The 19,598-nt window shown below is 36.3% G+C and overlaps 1 protein-coding gene across 4 annotated transcripts in view; it reads right to left on the bottom strand.

Moving 5' to 3' along the window:
- Nucleotides 1-475: 475 nt before the first annotated feature.
- The window catches only part of AGFG1 (ArfGAP with FG repeats 1), an 89,062-nt gene continuing 69,939 nt past the window's right edge, over nucleotides 476-19,598 (bottom strand). For 2 of the 4 annotated variants that reach the window (NM_001135187.2, NM_001135188.2), the window contains 3 exons: nucleotides 9,576-9,734; nucleotides 7,898-7,983; nucleotides 476-7,257 (listed from right to left, as the gene is read on the bottom strand). In NM_001135187.2, coding sequence (NP_001128659.1) covers nucleotides 7,198-7,257; nucleotides 7,898-7,983; nucleotides 9,576-9,734 — 305 coding nt within the window. In that variant the 3' untranslated portion in view covers nucleotides 476-7,197. Of the gene's footprint in view, nucleotides 7,258-7,897; nucleotides 7,990-9,575; nucleotides 9,735-19,598 lie in introns of all 4 variants that reach the window. The other 2 variants (NM_004504.5, NM_001135189.2) reach the window with 1 other exon arrangement.

Here is a 19,598-nt window from a genome sequence, read left to right as displayed (position 1 = left end):
TGGTGATGGTTAGTGAAAATAATTTAAACAAGATGTACAGAATAATCAAGATGGACTCATAACAAATAATAGTCAGTGACCACTACAGAGAAATAAGATTAGGGATGTGACAAACACAGTTCAGCATTTACCTTCTAAACTTCAACAGTAGTAAGGTAGGTAAATTCCCATTACAATGCTTTCTTAAAACCAACTTCCATCAATGTGTACTCCAGAAAAAAAAAAATCCATCTTTGAAAAAAAAATATTGCAAATTAAGTAACAAATAGATCCTGCTTTTTAAAAATGAAGACTTTTTAATTGAAAAATACAGAAAAAAATGGCAAAACTTATTAATTAATGGAAAACACGTTAAGCTGGAAGTAAATGCATGAGCTGCTTTACAGAAATGCATAATGTGAGTGATGAAAGGAACAAATATTCTTCCAATTTTCCAGATTTGACACTCATTTAAATGAAAGAGGCTATTCCCAAATGGTACACAAATTCAGAAGTCTTTATTTTGAAAAAAATTCTTCCAACAGTATTTCACAATGAACAAGAACTTAACCAAATTTATCTATCATACTAAAGTATTTCAGAAATGAATATTGAAAACAGCCTGTAAGTTTTCATCCAATATTTAAAACCACCTCCTGAACTAAAATTGGTCTTCAAAAATCATGGCGTATTAACATTTTCCAAACATGCCCTGCTGACTAGAAGGTCCTGTTATTCTTTCTTTTGAACTTCCCAGTAAGTTTCCTTGTTCCCTATTCCTAGGATTTAAAGTGCAAAGGTACTTTTTATGAGCTATTAGGACAAGTATTCTTCATTGAAAATAAACTTTTGCAGAAAACAAATCCTGTGCTTGACTAACAGCAAAGACATGTTAAGAAATTTCTGAGCTCCAAACCATGAGGAATCAGAATCACAACTTTCAGAGTAATAACTCACATTTTTTCTAAAGCATAGGAAGCTAATTTTGTATAATGAACAAATGTGGTTGTGCCAAAATAGGTTTTGCCACAGTTAATTTCCACTTTCTCTTCTTAAAAATAAGGTATAGTCTAAGCTAATGTAGATAAGGAAAGGCACGATACCAACAAACTGCAAAACAAAGTATAGCCCCAAGCCATGCACTTTTTAGAGTCATGAGTAGGGACAATGAAAAAATTAAGGTGCAAAATAGATGTGAACTTCCACAATCTTTCAATGGACTGTCTTAACAGTTTAATTTAAAAGCATAGGCTTTTTCATATATCTTCAGATAGTCAGAGAGATTTTTTTTCTTCTTTAAATGGAAGAATTTCTTAAATGGAAGCACAAGATCATACCTACACAGCTGGTGAGCCTCAAAATAGAATAATGTCTACTTTATTAATAAAGTTTCCAGTCAGGCAGAATCAAGAGTAATCTTCATATATGCATAAGGATATTATCATTATAACAATATTTTTAGTAGAAAAGTCTATAAACAAATGTTCTCCCAAAGGGACATCCATATAATGGAATCCTGGAGACATTAATGTTAGAGCTGGAAGGTGGCAATATGGAAAGACAACCAAGTTAAACAAGAACCAAGTCACAAACTTGAACATTTAAAATAAGAACAGGAAGAGGCATACAGAGAGAGAGCCATATATAAAATAAACGATAACATTTCTTAAAGACTACACAAGAATACAAGAAATTATATGCCTCTGGGGTATGAGAATAAAGTCACAGAGGGAGACACACTTTTTGACTTTATGCCCTTTGTGTATACTGCATAATTTTTAGAAATCATAAGCATATATTATAGCATACAAAAAACCTTTAAAGTCTTTAAAAAACCTGATTGTAACCAAAGCATTCTATGAAACATTGACTATGTAAGATTAGTTTACAATCCCTTGCTGCCTTTAGTTAATGATCATATAGTCAAAATTAGAAGGCTCCTTGGCGTTTGCTTCCTCTGTCTCTCCACTCAAGAATGAGGGAAGATGCTGAGAATTTAGAATTCAAATTTTACTCTCATTGCTTAAATTGTAACTTGGATAACATCTCAAGATTTCAGAGAACCGATTAAAAAATTAATCTATGGGCATTTTAATCACCATCTAAAATATTTTATCTAGGATCACTTATCTTTTTTTATAAAAGCTCAAATCACAACATTCTCTTTTCATCAGTCCCTACAGCCCTGTGTTGGACAAGCACAGATGTCAAAAATACACTTAAATATACGTTGAATTTTTATCCACTAGAATAAAATAAGCAGAATGATATGCATTCTTGGCGATAGTCTTCACTGGAAAATACCACTGTCAGCCCAAACTTACACAACTGACTTCAAAATCAGACTAAGATGTGGCATAAGAAGAGCTATTTCCTACCTTCACTATATATTCAGGATTTGCCAACTCCAAGGCCTTGAAAAACATGTGAATGTTTGAGACTAAGAAAAATTGGGAATGGTAAGCTAGTGGCCACCTTAAGAGTACATGCCCCATTTCAAAAAGATGGATTCAGAATGCAACGTTTTAAAACACTGTGCTGGTCACACAAAACAGAACTGCAGACAGAATTCAGTGTAAGCCTTGAATGTGCAACCCCTATAAGAGCACAATAATTGGACTTTTTAAAACCAAGGTTCACGATACTTGGGTCTTTGCAGATTAAATACCTCAGTGCCCAGTATATCTCTAAAAATAAACAAGTGTTCAAATGCTTGCTAAATGAATTAACAATATAAAAGCTCTCCAAATACTGGATATAATCATCAAATGACCAATACATTTAATTAATGAGTTGTGGAATTGTATGTCCTTTGCTGTGCTGAAGCTGGTTTGCCAAGGCTTGGGAAAGCCACTGGTTGGCTATCTCTTTCATCAAACTGCATTTAATGACATCAGATTGGCAGGTAAAATCACCATGAAGACAGTATTTATACCATAAATATTAGTAAATGCTACAAAACAGGGCCTTTTTTCTTTCATGAAAGATGGTTGTTAAACATTCAGCAGCACAACACTGGATTACATCGTGGTTATATATTCATCTGTTCACAAACAACCACGTGAAAAGTTTAATGTCACTAAGTTTTAAAACATAAAAAGAAAAACTTAACTAATGAGGATGAATACAACAGGTTAAATACAAATTTTAATATCACCTTTTAAAAAATAAATTTTAAAAGTGTATAGGCCACAAACTGTATCAATAAAGGTGGAATGCTTTACAAAATAGGAGTCTGTGATACTTCAGATGAGTCTTCAATCTAAAGCACGCTCCACTAGTTACCATATTAATTTACTTCTAAAGTTAAAAAAAAAAACCAAGAATAAACTGTACTGATTTCATCAAATTATGAAAGGAATTCAAGTGATTAAAGTTTTTTTAGATATACAAGACAAGAACGTTAACTTGTTCAGAATTTCAAAATATTAAGAAAGAATGCATTCATATATAAATGTGATAGCATTTAATCCAAATCTGTTCCCCAGAGCAAAAAGCTGCCACTAGCTTAACCTCTCTATGCTTTGCTTCTTTCATCCTAAAAGTATAGGTCCACTGCAGGGATTGTAAGAGATGAAATATGAAAATTGTTTTACAAATGACTATCTCATACACAGCCCATAATACCACTGCTATTATTACCTTGAAGTAGTGTTAAAAAGTCTGCAATTTCAGTTCTCACTAGCAAACAAAAAAAACCCAGGGAATAGTTATGTTTGCCCTGCAAGTAAATACTGTTCTAGAAATACACAAATTTAAAGTATAGTGGTTCTCAAAGAGTCTGGAGACCCTTAATGGTCCCTACAACCCTTTCTTTGAAAGGCTGTGAAAAGTCAAACTATTTTCATTGTACTACTGAGATATTACATAGTTTTCATTCTCCTGATCTCACAAGTGCACAGTGGAGTTTTCCAGCGTGTGTATGCTGTGTAATTTTTAAGTTGGAATGCAAAAGCAGCATGAAAATCTCACTGCTTTTATTAAGCCAGATTTAAATGCATAAAATGTAAAACAATGTTCCTGTTCTCATTAGTTTTTGTTTTGGAAAAGTTATTTTTATCAAAAATGGTATTTATGTTAGCAAGTTATTAGTTTATTACTGTTATACTTAAATAAATAAACATGTTTTAAAAATATCTCAGTATTAATTTTAATACAATAAATTCTCAGAGATACAAGCTACATCAACAAAGCTGTTGGGGAGTGTTAAGGTTCTGAAACTAAAATGCTCCAGAGATGTTGGTACAGTGGTAAACCAGCAGCCAGGTCACCCTCTCCATGTTGCCAATTGACAGGAACTGTACTAAAGTGGGTGTGTGTGCAGGGGGGCGGGGAATTTCACAGGTAAAGCACTAATGTGCTTTTACAAATTAACAGAAGGACTTATTTTGAGGAAGAAAGTGATTACCAAAACTCTATTTTCACAAAAATAATAAAATATTCTCTATTTCAAAAAATGGGGAAAAAATGTCTTTAAACTATGTCAAAAGTTTGCCATCCTGAAAAAAGATCTTTCCTGAACAGGGATATCTGCAGATACCTGAACAGGAAAAATGATGTGACTAAACCAGTAAGCCAGGAAATTTGAAGGTCTTCAGCCTTGTTACCTTCCAGGATTTTTTCTCCTTTTTAGTACTCAACATAATTTTGATGGTCTATATAAAACTAGAATAAATCTAAATGTAAAAGTCTAACGAAAGCTGATTTTCTTTAATAATAAACAGTGAATATCATGAGAAAAACCACTTTAAAGCTACCTCTCTTCTTTTTTTCATTTTTTAGAGATGGGATCTCACTCTATCCCCAGGCTGGTGTGCAGTGGTGTGATCGTAGCGCACTGCAGCCTCCAACTCCTGGGCTCAAGTGATGTTCCCACCTCACCTCCAGGTAGCTAGGACTCACAGGCTCTCACACCACCATACCCAGCTTGGGTCTCTTCTTGAACTAAACATTTTTATTTTATAAGCGCTAATTTAAAGTCAGTAAGAGCCCCCATTTAATTACAAACTTCAATAGTTACCCAGAAAAAGAAATAGTCTTTAAAATCATTTTGATAACAACTGTTTAATTTACTATTCAGATGGAAAGCCTGGTAGGATATTTGGGTAATGGTCTGTAATTAGGTAGCATAACTTTGTACACATGAATCAACTGGGACCCGATACAATCTAAAACAGAAATTCAAATATATTTTCCCTCAATGAAAAGGGCTGAGGAAGTCCTCCAAAATGTGGAGACATTTCAAGTCTACATCAACACACATCTGGACCTGTGCAGCATTCATTTAATTCTAAAAGAAGAGGCATACTGCTCAGAAAAGGGGCAGAGATTTCCCAGTCATCTTGCTTATTAAAACGGTTTAGATAAACCACACTTTTAGCTAGATGTACACTAGACAGCAATGTTTTAACAAGTCTAAAACACTATACAGGTTTTAAAATACTATGATAACAACTCAGTCATCATTGCAAAAAGGCATTCAACATGAATAAAATGTTTGAGGAAACTGATGTTTACCTCTTTTAATACCAAAGCTTTTTAAAAAGTTTTAATCAATTTAAGATAAAACTTTTAAAATATGTACTACATATCTGTGTATGCAATTTCACCTTTACTTAATTACCTAGAGGCATAATAAAGAATAATCATCAGATGATGTAGTATAGTGATGTCCTCTAGGCTGGGTAGCGGTCCTTACACTAATGGCCTTGGACAGTGTATGCTCTCAGAGTGTTTTTCAGTCTCCTTCCTTTCAAGCCATCCCTTCTAAACAGCTAATATGCTATAGTCTGGACAAGCAAATAATTAAATTTATTAAAATCTCTCATAAAAACAAATGCATAAGCTCTAACACACAGACTTTGTGACTTATATGGGTTGCTCAGAGGCATTTTTAAAAAAAACGATTCCAAGTTTCTGAGTTGTGTTCGGTTTTCACAAGACTGCCAGATTACCTCTAGATGAATGAGGCATTACTGTACATAGATACTTAAACAAGTTCATTTGAATATTAACAAAAAGATATAACTAAACTTATTATCTTTTCCTTTAAAACAAAGTATTCCGTAACTTTAAGGTAACACTGAGTTCCAGTTTCTTTCCCCCAAAAAACAAACATAAACAAATATCCTATAGATAATATCAGTTTGCCCAAAAAAAGAAAGAAAAAAACTGAGGTGCAATAATGTCACAGTTAATGCATGTCTACTTCCAATACATTCAAAGACAATTTTTTTTAAAAAAAATCAATAGTTAAAATAGGCCTTTTGCAGTCTGAGAATTCAAGATACTTAGAAAAATTTGTAAATACACATACATGCAAATTCTTCATATATACAAATTTCACAAAATTAATAAGCTGCAAAGAAATTAGTAGGATTATGGTAAATCTGACAAGCTACATTTAAATGCTTTACCACTGGCATATTCCTGAATGTAGCAGTCATAGTAGTTTTAATAAATTTTCTACATGGCCTTTTTATAAAAAGTCACTAAGAAGTCTTTTAAGAATTCAAGATGTTCTCAATTCACTACTCATATTTAAGGCCACTTTGGTAAAGGCATTGCAGCAAGAACACAAAAACAATAGCATATTTTATAATATTTATTTTTTTTCACCTGCAAACTGTAGCAAAACATGATCAGCTTTATTATGCAGACAGGTATCCCTCTACATTTTAAAAGAATTTAGGCATGTATAAATAGAAGAGCTCTTTAGAAAGGAAAAATTCAAGAATGAATAAAACCTTCCAATTTTGACTCTGTTACTTTCCAGTAGCAATGGTTAAAATGATTTTAGGTCATTCATTCCAAGATATATGACAGCACCTTAAAAGTGGCTGATCTATTTCCCCAGTAACATTTCTCACATAACAATGTGTTAAAGTTACAAATACTGATATGCACAAATAGCTAATTTCTAAGAAAAATATGTACAGTACTGCAGCATAATGAATGTGGTATCTGCAATAACTTAATATTAGCCAATTTTAATATACATGATACCGCTACCCTTTTCTGCCAATTCACAGGTTAGAAGGTGTTACTGGAGCCCTCGGTTTTGCACATATTACCTGGTGTTTAATACACAATGCAGGCTTTTTAAAGACTTCTCTTGTGTTTAAAGCTAAGATCAGTGAAACAAGACAACAGTGCAAGAGGTGGAGAGATGTAATGTGACCACATAAAAGTTCGTTCCAGTAAATTGTCTATATAAGGCTATAAGAAAGGATTGGTTGATGAGCTTCCTGTTGGAAATTGTCCTGTTGGTGCACCAGTCTAAAGGAAAACATAAGACAAATAAATAAAGAGACAAAAGTAGTGCATGTACAAAATATAAAAACATTAAACTGAATTTAATTTTTTTAATTAGACTTTTTGGTTAAGAATTATTTTTTAAATTATTGGCAATAATATTTGTTATTGGCAATAAGCTATATCAAACTACTATGTGTCATGAACTGTGCTACGTCTTTCATATCCAGTACTTCAAACAGTTCTTGTAATAGATTCTAAGAAGAATCTTAGAATGGTCTTAGAAAAGCACGTGTGATTCAAACAAAACTTCTGACTCTTAAGACCTCTCTTTTATGTTCACTAATTCCTAGGGCCTCTCATAAAGTGTTATTTTGACAAGAAAGCAGATAAGTTTCATATTATAAAATAGCTGATCTACTGTCAATGCTTTGATTTGCAACTAATTTTTTAAAAACTATCAATGCTTTGATTTGCAACTAATTTTTTAAAAGGTCAGAAAAGGATCACACATAATGGCTCTGTGTCAATTTGTACAATCTTATGATGTCACTCATATCAATATAACACCAAATACCATCTAGGAATATTAACATCCTGCTATTCCTAATTTTAAAATAAGATTTAACAACTTATAAAGTATTTAATTTTAAATTTTGCTTACCATAAAAGGATTACTAGATACTCCAGCAGCTGCAACTTGACCAAAAGGGGTTACTACTGGCTTTGTTTGTCCAAATGCTGCAAAACCTGCACCTTGTTAAAATAGAACCACCAATTATAACCCATACCTTCAAGAGACAATCTGATGCTTATAAAGCCTCATAATAACTTTCAGAGACATTCCTACCAGAGCAGCAAAAATAAAATGTTAAAGTTAAGTTGTTAGGCCTCAAGCTCTTTCAGATACCAAAGACAAACTTACTGTAGCATGTCTTAAAATAACCTTTTTTTTTTTTTTTTTGAGACATGATCTCACTCTATTACCCAGGCCAGAGTCCAGTAGCATGATCATGGCTCACTGCAGCCTCAACCTCCAGGGCTCAGGTGATCCTTCCACCTCAGTTTCCCGAGTAGCTGGAACTACAGGCACACGCCAGCACGCCCAGCTAATTTTTGTATTTTTTGTAGACAGGGTTTCACTACATTGCCCAGGCTGGTCTCAATCTCCTGGACTCGACTGATCCACCTGTCTTGGCCTCCCAAAGGGCTGGGATTATAGGCGTGAGCCATCACACCTGGCCAAGAGAACTTTCATTCAGCTCTTTCATTCTAACTTGTCTCAATAACTAAAATTTATAGAATTTCATTACTAGACGAGCTTGTGACTATTTGGAACAGGCTGTGCAGACAACACAATGATTTCTATGTAAACATCACAGTATTTTGTAGGAAATATTTTTATTATTTATGGCTCTTCCAGGGTCCATATTTCAGATTTTTTTTTTTTTTTTTTTTTGAGATGGAATTTCACTCTTGTCACCCAAGCTGGAGTGCAATGGCGATCTCGGCTCACCACAACCTCCGCCTCCCGGGTTCAAGCAATTCTCCTGCCTCGGCCTTCCTGAACAGCTGGGATTACAGGCATGTGCCACCACGCCTGGCTAATTTTGTATTTTTAGTAGAGACGGGGTTTCTCTATGTTGGTCAGGCTGGTCCTGAACTCCCGAGCTCAGATGATCCGCCCACTTCAGCCTCCCAAAGTGCTGGGATTACAGGCGTAAGCCACCACGCCCAGCCCATATTTCAGATTTTTAAATAACCACTTACTTAAAAAAAAAAAAAAAGAAAAAAGAAACCACATAGTTGTGATTCAAGAATCTTCAAATCTATGCACTTCAAACTGAAGCAAATGAAATACGTAAAAATGTCGAGTTAATCTTCTTGTCTCTTTCTAAAATCAAATAACAAACTCTAACTACAGTATAGTTACCAAATTAGAAAAGTAGTCTATTTCACACACAAAAAGGTACACATTTCTGTCCTGAAAGGAAAAAAAAATCCCAACATTCTAGGTCTATAAATTCTCCTTTTAAAATCAAGAGGTATATTAGAACATGTAAGACGAAATAATCAGAAAAAGGCAATAGAAATTCTGAGAATGACGGGATGCTCTTTACATAGTCACTGATTTCCCATAAATTGTAACCTGCTCACAAAAACTTGTAAAATCACTTAGCTTTCTGAGGTCCAAATCACCAAAGGCTTTTATTTTTGTGTAAACACTCAGTAGATAATACTATAGTATTCTTTAGAAAAGTCTTCCTGCCCAAGCACACAACATTATGATATAAAAAGGATACATAAAATGAACTTACAGCTCGCCAAATGTTAGATCTTACCATTGGGCTGTTGAGAAAAAGCTGTCTGTTGAGGGAAAGCTGCTTGGGCTGGAAAGGCAGGCTGCTGAAAGCTGCCACTAAAGCTGGTGGGAAGACTGTAGGGAGCAGGAGTGCCGAATCCTGTGGGCATGCTCATGGATGCAGTGCCAAAGGTTGCCGCTGACAGAAGAGAAGGGCTGATCAGTTACATACAACAGGATATGTTTAGTTTCTCACAACATTGTAAATGTAAAAAGACATCATTTACCTTGAAAAATACTAAGATGTACATTAAAGGCAGGGTTAATTCCAAAATTCCAACAAAGTTAATGAGTTTTAGTGCTACACAGTTTAACGTAACTTGTAGAAATTTTATTCTTCTAAAACACAATGACCAGAATGAAACTAACTACTAAAGCTGTTGTTTGAAATCCCAAGACAATTTCTCAAATTATAAATTCAAGTCTAAACAGTAGTCTTGTGTTTTAAAGATCATGCAATTAATATGTATACTAGTATACATTTTTGTTTTTAGTTTTGTTTTGTTATATGCAGTAAAATAACAGCCAAAATTTTATCTCCTGAAGTATCTGTCATAACATAATATGTGTTCCTGCAAAAAAAAATTTTAAACCGCTGAAGAATAGTTCGCTAAAAAGAACAGGACTTATAGGACAAATAGTTAGTTACAGGCAGACCACTCAGAACCTATGCAGCTTTGTAACTACAGCCAGAGAAGAGAGATTCTCTTAACAACACTAACACAATTAAAAGGATATTTTCCTATTAAATCAATTCCATACACACACACACACACGACTCCCACCCTCTTATGGAAGGTAAATGAAGACAGCTTTGCGAGACTGAAGGAAGGTTAGGGCAACTGAGCTATCGAAATTAGTGTGAAATCCATAAAGATTAGAAGTGAAATAAGCATTCCTAGAAGAATGCAGAATAAATGGCCAAAGTGTTCAATGCTACTGTATTCTTCCTTGGCTTGCCATGCCTCGCTGGTATTACTTGGTGGACAGAGTATTACCACATCGGGAGAAATGTGTGTGAACAACTGCTACATATGTGGAATGCTGCCATCATTTCCCTCTTTACTATTCACTTACAGTATGTTATTTATTACTAGTGAATATTAAAAACAAAACCTCCAACTATGTGTTTTAGGAAGGGTCTCAGTAAAATAAGAGCCAATAATGTTGCTTTGAATATAGACTATTAGTAATTACATAATGAAATATTCTTAGCATGATGCAATCAAAATACCATGAAAATTCACTAAATTTCCTGATTTTAACAAATTTACCAATTTGTTCATTGATTTAAGGCACAGAAATTAAATACTAAAAAATATTACACGGAATGTCTTTTATTTTTAAAAAGCTGAAAAACAAGTAATAGATGTTGCCCAAAGTAATCCCTGTAGTCGTATGTTTGTAACAATGCAATTCTGCTCAATGAACCTAATTAGAATATTAAAAAATTACTTTTTTATTACTGATGCGAAAAAAAGGAAAAACAGGCCATTGGGAAGCAGGTGAATTAAAGAATAATAAGCACACTGCAAGGGTAACAGGAGGGCTTCATAACAGACGACAATGCACCGACGTAACTTTGACAAATCACTTTAAGAGAGCACTTAAAAGCAAAACTTGAATACAGTTAAGCAAAACCAAACTCCATGGAATAATGCAGTAAAATGGTTTGGTATATCAAAAAGGCGTCACTCAAAGTACCATGAATTCAAACTCAAGAAAAAGAATCAAAATGGCTATTAACATTCTAATATGACCATGTAGGTAAGCAGTAATGCTTTTCAGCATTTACACATAAATCACTAAAAACATTTCCATGTAATTTTAAATACAATGTAATCCCAATGCCACACATCCATGCCCACTCCATTTTAAAACATGGAAAAAAACTTAATTCCACATGCAGGGATCCAGAACACTAGCAGAAGCTTCCACAAGCAGGTAGACAAATTGCCACACAAATCTAGATATTAATTGTGGCCACCTACCAAAATGAGCGTGAGGAAACACTTGAGAATGCATTGCTCCAGAAAGGCCTTATGGAAAGCCATAAAGAGACCAACGTCAATTAATTTATAGATAACTATTGTTAAAATAAAAGTATACTTGTTTCATTAAAAAGTTATAAAATTCGAGTGTACTGTTGCTAAGGGGGTAGCATAATACATAACAAAAACACATTCACAAAATAAGACTTTTAATTTCAACCATCTTCATGACCTGTAATATTTATACTGTTTAAAATAAAGGGGAGATTAGAATAATAAATAACAAATTAAGAAACAGTGATGAAATCAATTTTTTAAACAAATAGGCATCAACTTTTTTACAGTCATTAAAAAATGCTTTGTAGGCATCATAAGCTACATCTAAATACGCTATTCATAGGATCATATGAGATTATCCAGCATCTACATTTAGGATCAAAACCAAGTCTTGGGAGAGAGTGCATGAACAATGCTAGATTGTTTTATTTACAAATCAGCACATTAACTAGAAATACACAAATAACTCAAATGAACTAATTAAGTATTACAAGGGAAAAATTATTAAATATTCTAGTTCAAGAGAAAGGTAAGCGGTATTTACAGGTTAAAATACAATGGCTGAAAAGAAGAGAGAAAAAAGAAAAAGGCATCTTGTACAGATCTTACTCACCTGGCATGTTTGAGGACAGACAGGTTACATATAAAGTTAATAGAAAGTAAACTTAAATTGTTAAATACTAGTACCTTTTGTTTGTTCGGTTTAACAATCTGAAGATTGTGTCTAAAATATATTTCCATGGATTTAAAATTAGAATACTTTTTAAATTGGCATAAGAATGATTAAAAAATTGAATGGTTCTGAGTTGTGGTTCTGTCATTTTCTGGCTGCATGATGTTACTTTATTTTATAAGCTTCAGTTTCCTCATTTGCAAATGAGGTGGAGGGATAGAGACAATAGTATCTATACTTCACAAAGCTGCTGTGAAGAATAAATGTAACAACGAATTAGAGTGCTTTGCAATAAATACTCAATGAATGTAACTTTCTTGCTAACTTAAAAAAGTGTCACTGTGTTCCAAATACAAAAAAAAAAAGGTTAACTGAGGGAGAAGGGCCTGTGAAAAATTAATGTGGCCCTTATATTTATCTACTTTCTTTTTTTTCTTTTTGAGACGGAGTCTCGCTCTGTCGCCCAGGATGGAGTGCAGTGGTGTGATCTCGGCTCACTGCAAGCTCCACCTCCCGGGTTCACGCCATTCTCCTGCCTCAGCCTCCCAAGTAGCTGGGACTACAGGTGCCCACCACCATGCCCAGCTAATTTTTTGTATTTTTAGTAGAGACGGGGTTTCACCGTGTTAGCCAGGATGGTCTCGATCTCCTGACCTCGTGATCCGCCTGCCTCGGCCTCCCAAAGTGCTGGGATTACAGGCGTGAGCCACTGCACCCGGCCTTATCTACTTTATCTTAAAGCACTTTACAGGCTCAGAGCAGTCTTGCATTAATGACATTGATTAAACTGTGTTTATTCCAGCATTTCTCATATGTATTTAGACATAGAACACTTTTCCACAGAATTTTGCTAACAACATTACAGGAGACATGTTTCACAAAACGCACTGGCAAAAACTGACTTTTAGCCAACAGTGACTGTTAACCAATATTAATCACTATACCTCAGTCTGCAACAAAGATGCCCCCCAAGCTCTGGTCCTGAACTGCTCTAAACTTTTTTTAGACTTTTTACAGCTTTCTGAAATATAGTTCACATACTACACACAATTCATTCACTTACAGAATTCAATGATTCTTTAAATATATTCACAGGGATGTACAACCACCATCAGAATCTAATTTTAGAATATTTTCATCCCCCTCAAAAGAAATGTGATACCTATCAGCTGTCACTTCCCATGCTGCCCCACCACTACTAAAACCCTACCCCCTGGCAATCATTGATCTACTTTTTCTTTCCAATTCTGGACATTTCATACAAATGGCCACCACAAATATGTGGCCTTTTGTGACGAGTTTCTTCTGCTCAGCAGAATGTTTTCAAGGTTCATCCATGTTGTAGCATGTATCAATGCTTCATCACTTTTTATTATCAAGTAATTTGTCATTGTATGACTATTCGACATTTGGTTTCATCAGTTGACGGGCACTTGGGTTGTTTCTACTTCTTAGCGATGATAAATACTGATGGTATGAACATTTGTGTACAAATTTTTGTGCAGATCTATGTTTTCATTCCTCTTTGGTATATTCCTAATAGTGGCACTCTGTTAGGTTATATGGTAACTCCATGATGACCATTTTGAGGAACTGCCAAAATGTTTTCCAAGGGGTTGTACCATTTTATATTCCCACAAGCAATATACGAGGTTTCTATTTTCTCTACCTCCTTACATTGTTCATCACTGTCTTTTCTTTTATTGGCCATCTGTATACCTTCTTAGAGAAATGTCTATTCAAATATTTTGCTCACTTTTTAATTGGGGTGTCTTTTTATTATTTAGTCGTTACGAGTTCTTTGCACATTCTGAATACAAGTCCCTTATCAGATGTAGGATTTGCAAATATTTTCTCCAGACTGCTATTAAGCTTAATTTTTCTGTTGTGTTAATTTTTACAACTTTCCTGTCTTTCTTGTTTTGATTACCACATTGGCAACAATTTTCATTTCTGGCTCCTTTTTAAAATACCAATTGTAGATTATTAAATATTAGAGATGTCCAAATATTAAGAGTAAATTGAGAGGGAAAGAGCACAAGGAGAGCAAATCAGCAGCAATTCTATAAACAAAATATATCCTTCACAGCCCAAGGTAACTTTCTACTTAGGGTTTTTTCTTTGCTTTTGCTCAGCTACCTCCAACCCTTTTTTGTATTAATCCTCACTTCCTGAGTATGCTAGGCAAGTGAAGTGAGCCTACTAAGTATTTAGATATAAGGAATAGTGCATAATGTTAATTTGTGTATGTTTCATCAATGTGAAACTGAAGTATAAATATGGAGGCAACTGTACTGGAACAAAAACAGTGTTGGTTCAGAAGCATTCTGGGTATTAATATCAGATCAGCCATTACTGAATTTTGAACCTTTAAGGCAAATTCATTAATCTTAGCAAATTGGTTTCCACCTAGGTAATAAACAAAGATCTGAGGGCCAGATGCCATCCAATAAGCTCTGCATTTTGGTAAGTACCTTTCCTTAGGGAAAAAAAATCTTTGAAACCATTCATTCATTAAAATAAATGGTAGGAAATAATGACTATCCATTCAGTGACAAAGGAGAGACCTAAGAGTTATAAAAATTTCCTACTATTTAAAAATTATTTTAACCTCTATTAATTAGATTTAAGGGCTCTGAGGGGGGAAAAACACTAAATATCATAGAATCTGAAAATTAGGCCACAATAGGCTAATCTCCTAATGAGAGTTACTATGTAATATTACAGTTTTTTAAAAAGCTACAGCCCCAGAAGGGAGTTCCAAGATGGCAGAATAGGAACGGCTCCAGTCTACAGCTCCCAGCGTGAGTGACGCAGAAGAAGGGTGATTTCTGCATTTCCAACTGAGGTACTGGGTTCATCTCACTGGGACTGGTTGGACAGTGGGTGTAGCCCACGGAGTGTGAGCCGAAGCAAGGCGGGGCATCACCTCACCCGGGAAGTGCAAGGGGTCAGGGAATTCCCTTTCCTAGCCAACAGAAGCTGTGACAGACGGTACCTGGAAAATCGGGACACTCCCGCCCTAATACTGCACTTTGCCAAAGGTCTTAGCAAACGGCACACCAGAAGATTATATCCCGCGCCTGGCTCAGCAGGTCCCACACCCATGGAGCCTTGCTCACTGCTAGCACAGCAGTCTTGATTGAACTGCGAGGCGGCAGCAAGGCTGGGGGAGGGGCGCCCGCCATTACTGAGGCTTGACTTGGTAAACAAAGTGGCCAGGAAGCTTGAACTAGGTGGAACCCACTGCAGCTCAACAAGGCCTGCCTGCCTCTATAGACTCCACCACTGGGGGCAGGGCATAGCTGAAAAAAGGCAGCAGAAACTTCTGGAGACTTAAACGTCTCTGTCTGACAGCTTTGTAGAGAGCAATGGTTCTCCCAGCATGGAGTCTGAGATCTGAGAATGGCCAGACTGCCTCCTCAAGTGGGTCCCTGACCCCCGCAGTAGCCTAACTGGGAGACACCTCCCAGTAGGGGCCGATTGACACCTCATACAGCCAGGTGCCCCTCTGAGACGAAGCTTCCAGAGGAAGGATCAGGCAGCAACATTTGCTGTTTTGCAATATTTGCTGTTCTGCAGCCTCCGCTGGTGATACCCAGGCAAACAGGGTCTGGAGTGGACCACCAGCAAACTCCAACAGACCTGCAGCTGAGGGTCCTGACTGTTTGAAGGAAAAGTAACAAAAAGAAAGGAGTAGCATCAACATCAAAAAAAAGGACACCCACACCAAAACCCCATCTGTAGGTCACCATCATCAAAGACCAAAGGTAGATAAAACCACAAAGATGGGGAGAAACCAGAGCAGAAAGGCTGAAAATTCTAAAAACCAGAGTGCCTCTTCTCCTCCAAAGGACTGCAGCTCCTCGCCAGCAATGGAACAAAGCTGGACAGAGAATGACTTTAGACGAACTGACAGAAGTAGGCTTGAGAAGATCGGTAATAACAAACTTCTCCGAGCTAAAGGAGGATGTTCAAACCTATCGCAAGGAAGCTAAAAACCTTGAAGAAAGATTAGACGAATGGCAAACCAAAATAAACAGCGTAGGGAAGATCTTAAATGACCTGATGGAGCTGAAAACCATGGCACAAGAACTATGTGAAGCATACACAAGCTTCAGTAGCTGATTCAATCAAGTGGAAGAAAGGGTACCAGTGACTGAACATCAAATGAATGAAATAAAGTGAGAAGAGACGTTTAGAGAAAAAAGAGTAAAAAGAAACAAACAAAGCCTCCAAGAACTACGGGACTATGTGAAAAGACCAAATCTACGTCTGATTGGTATACCTGAAAGTGACGGGGAGAATGGAACCAAGTTGGAAAACACTCTGCAGGATATTATCCAGGAGAACTTCCCCAATATAGCAAGGCAAGCCAACCTTCAAATTCAGGAAATACAGAGAACACCACAAAGATAATCCCTGAGAACAGCAACGCCAAGATACATAATTGTCAGATTCACCAAGCTTGAAATGAAGGAAAAAATGTTAAGGGCAGCCAGAGAGAAAGGTCGGGCTACCCACAAAAGGAAGCCCATTAGACTAACAGGGGATCTCTCAGCAGAAACTCTACAAGCCAGAAAAGAGTGGTGGCCAATATTCAACATTCTTAAAAAAAAGAATTTTCAACCCAGAATTTCATATCCAGCCAAACTAAGCTTCATAAGTGAAGGAGAAATAAAATCCTTTACAGACAAGCAAATGCTGAGAGATTCTGTCACCACCAGGCCTGCCTTACAAGAGCTCCTGAAGGAAGTACTAAACATAGAAAGAACAACCGGTACCAGTCACTGCAAAAACATGCCAAACTGTAAAGACCATCGATGCTAGGAAGAAACTGCATCAACTAATGAGCAAAATAACCAGCTAACATCATAATGACAGGATCAAATTCACACATAACAATATTAACCTTAAATGTAAATGGGCTAAATGCCCCAATTAAAAGACACAGACTGACTTTGGGAGGCCAAGACAGGCAGATGACGAGGTCAGGAGATCGACACCATCCTGGCTAACAAGGTGAAATCCCGTCTCTACTAAAAATACAAAAAATTAGCCGGGTGTGGTGGTGGGTGCCTGTAGTCCAAGCTACTGGGAAGGCTGAGGCAGGAGAATGGCGTGAACCCAGGAGGCGGAGCCTGCAGTGAGCCAAGATCGCGCCACTGCACTCCAGGCTGGGTGACAAAGCGAGACTCCGTCTCAAAAAAAAAAAAAAAAAAAAAAAAAAGACACAGAATGGCAAATTGGATAAAGAGTCAAGACCTATCAGCGTGCTGTATTCAGGAAACCCATCTCACGTGCAGAGACATACATAGGCTCAAAATAAAGGGATGGAGGAAGATCTACCAAGCAAATAGAAAACAAAAAAAAGCAGAGGTTGCAATCCTAGTCTCTGATAAAACAGACTTTAAACCAACAAAGATCAAAAGAGACAAAGAAGACCATTACATAATGGTAAAGGGATCAATTCAACAAGAAGAGGATCAATTCAACAAGAAGAGCTAACTATCCTAAATATATATGCACCCAATACAGGAGAACCCAGATTTAAAAAGCAAGTCCTTAGAGACCTACAAAGAGACTTAGACTCCCACACAATAATAATGGGAGACTTTAACACCCCACTGTCAACATCAGACAGATCAATGAGACAGAAATTTAACAAGGATATCCAGGACTTGGACTCTGCTCTGCACCAAGCAGACCTAATAGACATCTACAGAACTCTTCATCCCAAATCAACAGAATATACATTCCTCTTAGCACCACATCTCACTTATTCCAAAATTGACCACATAATTGGAAGTAAAGCACTCTTCAGCAAATGCAAAATAACAGAAATCATAACAAACTGTCTCTCAGACCACAGTGCAATCAAATTAGAACTCAGGATTAAGAAACTCAATCAAAACCGCAAAACTACATGGAAACTGAACAACCTGCTCCTGAATGACTACTGGGTGAATAATGAAATGAAGGCAGAAATAAAGATGTTATTTGAGACCAATGAGAACAAAGACACAACATACCAGAATCTCTGGGACAGATTTAAAGCAGTGTGTAGAGGAAAATTTATAGCACTAAATGCCCACGAGAAAGCAGGAAAGATATAAAATTAACACCCTAACATCACAATTAAAAGAACTAGAGAAGCAAGAGCAAACATATTCAAAAGGCAGCAGAAGATAAGAAATAACTAAGATCACAGCAGAATTGAAGGAGAGAGAGACACAAAAAACCCTCAAAAAAATCCATGAATCCAGGAGCTGGTTTTTTGAAAAGATCAACAAAATTGACAGACCGCTAGCAAGACTAATAAAGAAGAAAAGAGAGAAGAATCAAATAGATGCAATAAAAAATGATAAAGGGGGTATCACCACTGATCCCACGGAAATACAAACTACCATCAGAGAATACTATAAACACCTCTATGCAAATAAACTAGAAAATCTAGAAGAAATGGATAAATTCCTGGACACATACAACACCCTCTCAAGACTAAACCAGGATGAAGTTGAATCCCTGAATAGACCAATAACAGGCTCTGAAATTGAGGCAATAGCAGTCTACCAACCAAAAAAAGTCCAGGACCAGACAGATTGACAGCCAAATTCTACCAGAGGTACAAAGAGGAGCTGGTTCCATTCCTTCTGAAACTTCCAATCAATAGAAAAAGAGGGAATCCTCCCTAACTCATTTTATGAGGCCAGCATCATCCTGATACCAAAGCCTGGCAAAGGCACAACAAAAAAAGAGAATTTTAGACCAATATCCCTGATGAACATCGATGTAAAAATCCTCAATAAAATACTGGCAAACCAAATCCAGCAGCACATCAAAAAGCTTATCCACCATGATCAAGCTGGCTTCACCCCTGGGATGCAAGGCTGGTTCAACATATGCAAATCAATAAACATAATCCATCATATACACAGAACCAAAGGCTAAAACCACGAGTATCTCAATAGATGCAGAAAAGGCCTTTGACAAAATTCAACAGCCCTTCATGCTAAAAACTCCCAATAAACTAGGTATTGATGGAACATACCTCAAAATAATAAGAGCTATTTATGACGAACCCACAGCCAATATCATACTGAATGGGCAAAAACTGGAAGCATTCCCTTTGAAAACTGGCACATGACAGGTATGCCCTCTCTCACCACTCCTATTCAACATAGTGTTGGAACTTCTGGCCAGGGCAATCAGGCAAGAGAAAAAAATAACGGGTATTCAATTAGGAAAAGAGGAAGTCAAATTGTCCCTGTTTGCAGATGAC

This window comes from Homo sapiens, chromosome 2, assembly GCF_000001405.40.
Source record: "Homo sapiens chromosome 2, GRCh38.p14 Primary Assembly".
Classification (NCBI taxonomy): domain Eukaryota; kingdom Metazoa; phylum Chordata; class Mammalia; order Primates; family Hominidae; genus Homo; species Homo sapiens.
This window is presented reverse-complemented; position numbering and strand designations above follow the sequence as displayed.